This window comes from Homo sapiens, chromosome 14 (assembly GCF_000001405.40).
Source record: "Homo sapiens chromosome 14, GRCh38.p14 Primary Assembly".
In the NCBI taxonomy this organism is placed as follows: Eukaryota; Metazoa; Chordata; class Mammalia; order Primates; family Hominidae; genus Homo; species Homo sapiens.
In genome coordinates, this window is record NC_000014.9 from 45,277,958 (window position 1) to 45,284,750 (window position 6,793).

Sequence of the window (6,793 nt, forward strand, 5' to 3'; positions counted from 1 at the left end):
GCTAGGTAGCATTATTGTAGTCAACTCTTAATTATCTAGATAGAGTTATCATATATACATATATATATTTATTTTCTTTTTTTTTTTAAGACAGAGTCTCATTTTGTCACCCAGGCTGGAGTGCAGTGGTGTGAGCTCAGCTCACCGCAACCTCTGCCTCCAGGGTTCAAGCGATTCTTCTACCTCAGCCTCCAGAGTAGCCAGACTTACGGGCTTGCGCTACCACACCCAGCTAAGTTTTGTATTTTTAGTAGAGATGGGGTTTGCCATGTTGGCCGGGCTGGTGTTAAACTCCTGACCTCAGGTGATCTGCCCTCATCGGCCTCCCAAAGTGCTGGGATTACAAGCTTGAGCCACCATGCCTGGCCCATTAATATATTTTTGAGAACTATTTTTTGCTGTCCACTTGTCTTTCTGATTATAGAGACTAGATTTCACACTCTTAATTATTGCAGCAAGGAAATAGAACTCCAGTACTTTTCAGAGCAGCAACACACCCAGCTAAAAAAATTACATTTTTCAATTTTATTTGCAGGGAGATGTGACCAACTAAGTTCAGTGAAAGTATTGTGTGGGACTTCTAGGAAGGTTCTTAATGGGAGCAGGTTTGATTGAGAGAGGACTTATTTGCCTTTTCTGCTATCTGGAATGTGATAGCTAGAGCTCAGCAGTCTTCCTGGTTCATGAGATGGCTTTGAGAATGAAAGCCACTTACTATGGATGATGGAGAAGATAGAATGAGCCAGGGTCACTGATGCTTTTGTGGAGCCACCATTCTGTCTCTGTATCCTTGCAGGAAAGAATAAAGCCTTGTGAGTTTAAAGTTTTTTCTTTAAAAAATGTCTGTTTATGCAGTTCCCGATACAATAAGTTTTTCTGTGTGCCGTTATTTATGATCTCCTTTGAAATCAATGATTGTATTGAGAGTAAGGGTAATTTATAGGGTGAAAGAATGAAAGTATGGCACAAGAGATCCTGTCCCCTCAAAATCACTTAATTTGCTTCCAGGGAGTAATCTTAGGCATGAGGGATAGGTTAACTATAACAATGGGTACTATGTGTTCTGTGTTTATTCAAGACACTTCTGAAAGCATTTTATTTGAATTGACTTATTTAATCCAGACAACTTTTTATGAAACAACTATTTATCCATTTTACAGATGAAGAAACTGAGTCATGGGGAAGTTAAGTATGCTTGAAAAAAATCACACAGCTGATACAGCTGGGCATGTAGCTCTAGGGCTCATGCTCTTAACCATTATGCTACACTTTCTACAATAGAGCTCTCATATGGAGCATTCCAAAAGTAAATAATTCCATCATGTCCCTTTCCTAGGACCCTAAGTCCATGAGATACTTTGTACCTGAAAAATTAAAGATAACTTGAGTTGTTAATGTGTCAATAAAAGTATGATACAGGATGTACAATTTCAGTGATTGTTATATGCAGAGTAAAATAATCCAAATGTGTCATGTAGCTTAAATGGCAATGACTTTAATTTTTTGGCCATCTTTTATATATAGAAAGAAAAACTTATTTTTGCATAATGTGTATACCTTAAAGTATATTTGGATTATTTTCCTATCAAATAGCTCTTTTCATTTTCCTTTGCTCTTTTAAGTGATATGAGATATTTATATTTGGTCAAAGTGATTTTTAGAAACTGCTTTATTTTTATTTTTTATTTTTATTTTTTTGAGATGGATTCTTGCTCTGTCACCCAGGCTGGAATGCAGGGGCACTCTCTCAGCTCACTGCAATCTCTGGCTCCTGGGTTCAAGTCCCAAGTAGCTGGGATTACAGGTGTGTGCCACCATGCCTGGCTAATTTTTGTATCTTTAGTAGAGATGGGGTTTCACCATGATGGCCAGGCTGGTCTCGAACTCCTGACTTCAGGTGAAACACCTGCCTCGGCCTCCCAGAGTGCTGGGATTACAGGCGTGAGCCACTGCGCCCTGCCAAAACTGTTTATATTTTTAATTTATACTATAGTTTTTGTAGCACCCATATACATTTATCTCTGGTTAACATGATGTCACATATGTGAGTTGGATTTAGTTATCATCCTAAAATATTTAAGTGGTTTTCCAAAAACTGATATAACTACTTTGCCATAGAATACTATGACTTGCAACAAAGTATCTAGTTAAAACTTAATATTCAGCTGGGCACAGTGGCTCATGCCTGTAATCCCAGCACTTTGGGAGGCTGAGGTGGGTGGATCACCTGAGGTCAGGGGTTCGAGATCAGCCTGGCCAACATGGTGAAACCCCATCTCTACTAAAAATACAAAAATTAGCTGGGTGTGGTGGTGCATGCCTGTAATCCCAGCTACTTGGGAGGCTGAGGCAGGAGAATCGCTGGAACTTGAGCGGCAGAGGCTGCAGTGAGTCGAGATTGCACCACTGCACTCCAGCCTGGGTGACAGAGTGAGACTCCATCTCAAAACAAAAACAACAGAAAACAAAAAAACCCCCACAAAACTTAATATTCAAAGTAATGTAGACATTCAGAGAAAAGTTGTAACTTGTTGCTTGAATGAAGCAGAGTAGGTAGGACAATTCTGATAATTGACTAAAATAATATAAGGATATCATAGTGTTCTGTTAGAGATTTAACTTGTTTCTGCTCTGGTGAGAGGTAGCAATTCAATGTGGAGACGTGCGCATCATGTCTGGCCAACACCATTGAACTTGGGAATGACACTCTCCAGGGACATCTCTTAGAAGGTTCTTAGAGAAATGGGACATGGGTTGTTTTACTGGTTATTAATGGATAAGATACTTGAATGCTGGGCTGATAATTCTGCTTCCCCACCTCCTCTACTCCAGATTTATTTCCCACCATTCCCTGCTCTCCTTTTTCTCCTAGTGATGGACCCCAATAAACTGTGTTATGTAGACTTTCTTGTACTGCATTGTACTTTCTTATACTCTTCTAGTCGAGTTCCTGTTGGTTCAGGCAGTAAGAAACACCAGCGAGGGGATGGAGGAAGTGGGGAGGTAGAGAGGAGAGATCAGGGCATTTCTTTCTTTTTTCCATCCCTGCCTTGGAGCTGTGTTCTGGCTGGGGCTGCAGCTGTGCAACTACTGGCTTCCACTCCCCTAACTTCCCCATCACTCCATGATATGGTTTGGCTCTGTGTCCCCACTGAAATCTCATCTCCAATTGTAATCCCCATGTGTGGAGGGAGGGACCTGTAATCCCCATATGTTGAGGGAAGGAAGTGATTGGATTATGGGGGCGGTTTCCCCCATGCTGTTCTTGTGATAGTGAGTGAATTCTCACGAGATGTGATGGTTTTGTAAATGGTGGTTTATTCCTGTGCTCTCACTTCTGTCTCACCTGCTGCCCTGTAAGATGTGCCCCCTTCCCCTTCTGCCATGATTATAAGTTTCCTGAGGCCTCCTCAGCCATGCAGAACTTTGAGTCAATTAAACCCCTCGCTCCCTCCCTCCCTCCGTTCCTTCCTTCCTTCCTTCCTTCTTTCCTTCCTTCCTTGTTGCGGGAAGTCAGGGACCCCGGACGGAGGGACAGGCTGAAGCTATGGCAGAAGAACATAAATTGTGAAGATTTCATGGACATTTATTAGTTCCCCAAATTGATACTTTTATAATTTCCTATGCCTGTCTTTAATCTCTTAATCCTGTCATCTTCGTAAGCTGAGGATGTATGTCGCCTCAGGATCCTGTGATGATTGTGTTATCTGTACAAATTGTTTGTAAAATATGTGTGTTTGAACAACATGAAATCTGGGCATCCTAAAAGAAGAGGATAACAGTGATTTTCAGGGAACAAGGAGATAACCATAAGGCCTGACTGCCTGCAGGGCCGGGCAGAACAGAGTCATATTTCTCTTCTTGCAAAAGCGAATAGGAGAAATATTGCTGAATTCTTTTTCTCAGCAAGGAACAGCCCTGGGAAAAGAATGCATTCCCAGGGGGAGGTCTCTAAAAGGCCGCTCTGGGAGTGTCTGTCTTATGCAGTTGTACATAAGGGATGAAATATGCCCTGGTCTCCTGTGGCGCCCCCAGGCTTGCTAGGATTGGGAAATTCCAGCCTGGCGAAGTTCTAGTCAGACCGGTTGTCTGCTCTTGAACCCTGTTTCCTGTTAAGATGTTTATCAGTGACAATGTGTGCCCAGCAGGACATGGACCTTCATCAGTAATTCTAGTTTTGCCCTGGCCTTGTGATCTCACTCTGACTCTGCCCTTGTGATATTTTATTGCCTTTGAAGCATGTGATCTCTGTGACCCACACCCTATTCGTACACTCCCTCCCCTTTGAAAATTGCTAATAAAAACGTGCTGGTTTTGCAGCTCAGGTGGGCATCACGGAAGCTGCCAATATGTTATGTCTCTCCTGGTGGCCCAGCTGTAAAATTTCTCTCTTGTACTCTTTCTCTTTATTTCTCAGACCGGCCGACACTTAGCGAAAATAGAAAAGAACCTATGTTGAAATATTGGGGGCTGGTTCCTCCGATACTTTCTTCCTTTCTCTCTCTTTCTTTCTTTCTTTCTTTCTTTCTTTCTTTCTTTCTTTCTCTCTTTCTTTCTCTCTCTTTCCCTCCCCCCTTCCTCCCTCCCTCCCTCCCTTCCTTCCTTCTCTCCTTCTTTTTTTTTTTTTTTTTTTTTTTTTTTTTTGAGACAGAATCTCCCTCTGTCACCCAGGCTGGAGTGCAGTGGCAGGATCTTGGCTCACAGCAACCTCTGCTTCCTAGGTTCAAATAGTTCTCCTGCCTCAGCCTCCCAAGTAGCTGGATTACAGGCGTGTGCCACCACGCCCAACTAATTTTTTTTTTTTTTTTGTATTTTTAGTAGAGATGGTGTTTCACCATGTTGGCTAGGCTGGTCTCGAACTCCTGGCCACAAGTGATCCACCTGCCTTGGCCTCCTAAAGTTCTGGGATTACAAATGTGAGCTGCTGTGCCCTAAACCTCCTTTCTTTATATATTACCCAGTCTCAGGCATTTCTTTGTAGAGTGTGAGAATGGACTAATGCACTCCAGCTCCAGCTTATCACTTCAGGCCGAGGGGTGGTAACAGTTCCAAAGTGCTCAGCATCCCTGTAGCATCTCTTAACCGTATTCACACATCTGTAGATAGTTTATTTATTAAGTTATCTCCAAACCTCAGCTCAGTCTCCTGTTTCCTGCTGAGACCCATACTCTGGGAATGAACTAAGGCAGGTTAGTATACTCTTTCCTAGTGGTATAAAAAGTGGATACTCTTATTAAAAAAGAGGGCTCTTAACAGATGGAAAAAAATATAGATTTTTTTTTCCTTTGGAAGTCTTTAAAAATAAGAGAAATGTCTTTTTTTTGGGAATGGTTTCTGTCTGTTTAATAGATACGGTTAGAATATTAATGACAGTCATATCTATGTGTGACCAATCAGTTGTTGAGCACAGTTCTACTCAGCCATTTCAGTGCTTTTGTGCAGGTTTTTCTTTAAAATTTAAATACAATGTATCTTTTGCTGTTTATTTTTTTAATAAAAAAATCTCTTTTTTAAATAAAAAATATTCGGCCGGGCACGATGGCTCATGCCTGTAATCCCAGCACTTTGGGAGGCTGAGGAGGGCGGATCATGAGGTCAGGAGATCGAGACCATCCTGGCTAACGTGGTGAAACCCTGTCTCTGCTAAAAATACAAAAAATTAGCCGGGCATGGTGGCAGGCACGTGTAGTCCCAGCTACTCAGGAGGCTGAGGCAGGAGAATGGCGTGAACCCAGGAGGCGGAGCTTGTAGTGAGCTGAGATTGTGCCACTGTACTCCAGCCTGGGTGACAGAGCGAGACTCTGTCTCAAAAAAAAAAAAATAATTATTATTAAAAAAATAAAAAATATTCTGTCATAATATAGTGTTTTATTTTTTAAATAAAAACTAAAACATTCCTCTGCCTCCCCCATTTATTATTATTTTTTTACCTGAGTCATCTTAAAGAGGAGTTTTTATAGAAGTACTTTCTTGGGTTTTGTTTATGATTATCTAAACCTGAGAGTTGATAACAGAATTAGAAAAATGTAAAATTTATTCCAGCTGTACTTTGGAAATTTTTTTTTCCTGCAGATGTTTTTCTTCCTTTGGAAAATAGAAGCCAAGGCCATACTAATGTCCAAGATTCAATAGTGGTTATGTTTTGGTTGAAAGCATAAATATAAAGATTAATTTTATTCTTATCAACATAATCTAGAGATGAATGTGTAATTTTTTAAACTGGTAGTTGAACCAATAGTAATTTCTCATATTTTTGCATCTGTTTTAGGAGAGAGGCAGTGAGAGAGAAACTCTGCCTGTGATGAAACAATTTTGAATTTTTTTTCCCTCTGCAGGAATGAGTTTATCGATAAGCAACAAAAAGCTCAAAACTCTTCTAGGAGTTTGGGGTTCCTATAGTTAGCCTTACATTCATTTTGTTAGGATGACTTCCTCAGAGCCAGAACTATTTTTCTGAGGCTCTTAAAGATGGGAAAGATGGGAAACAGTGGAAAAAGCTAAGGTCTTCCATATGTCACATCCATTCAAAAGGAACACATGGCAGGAACATGAGCTTTTGTTATCTTGGAAGCAGGATTTTTTGGGTTCTCTTCTCATTCTACATTTGCCAACTTTATGATGCTAGTTCATCTCAACCAACCAAGGTTTCATTAAACTTGGTTACTAACATCCAATATCTGTGATTCTTGGTTGAGTTTTACCTTTTGGACCAACATACCCTAAATATATAGGGCATAGTAGAATATGAACCTTGAGGAACTCCATTGATGAACCTGTACTATTGTAGTCTTGT

The 6,793-nt window shown here is 40.8% G+C and overlaps 1 annotated feature.

Moving 5' to 3' along the window:
- Nucleotides 3,936–4,136: a silencer, noted in NCBI's record as "peak2147 fragment used in MPRA reporter construct". NCBI's record gives its function as "represses an SCP1 promoter by STARR-seq MPRAs in K562 erythroleukemia cells {active_cell/tissue: K562}" and the evidence as "EXISTENCE:reporter gene assay evidence [ECO:0000049][PMID:32103011]".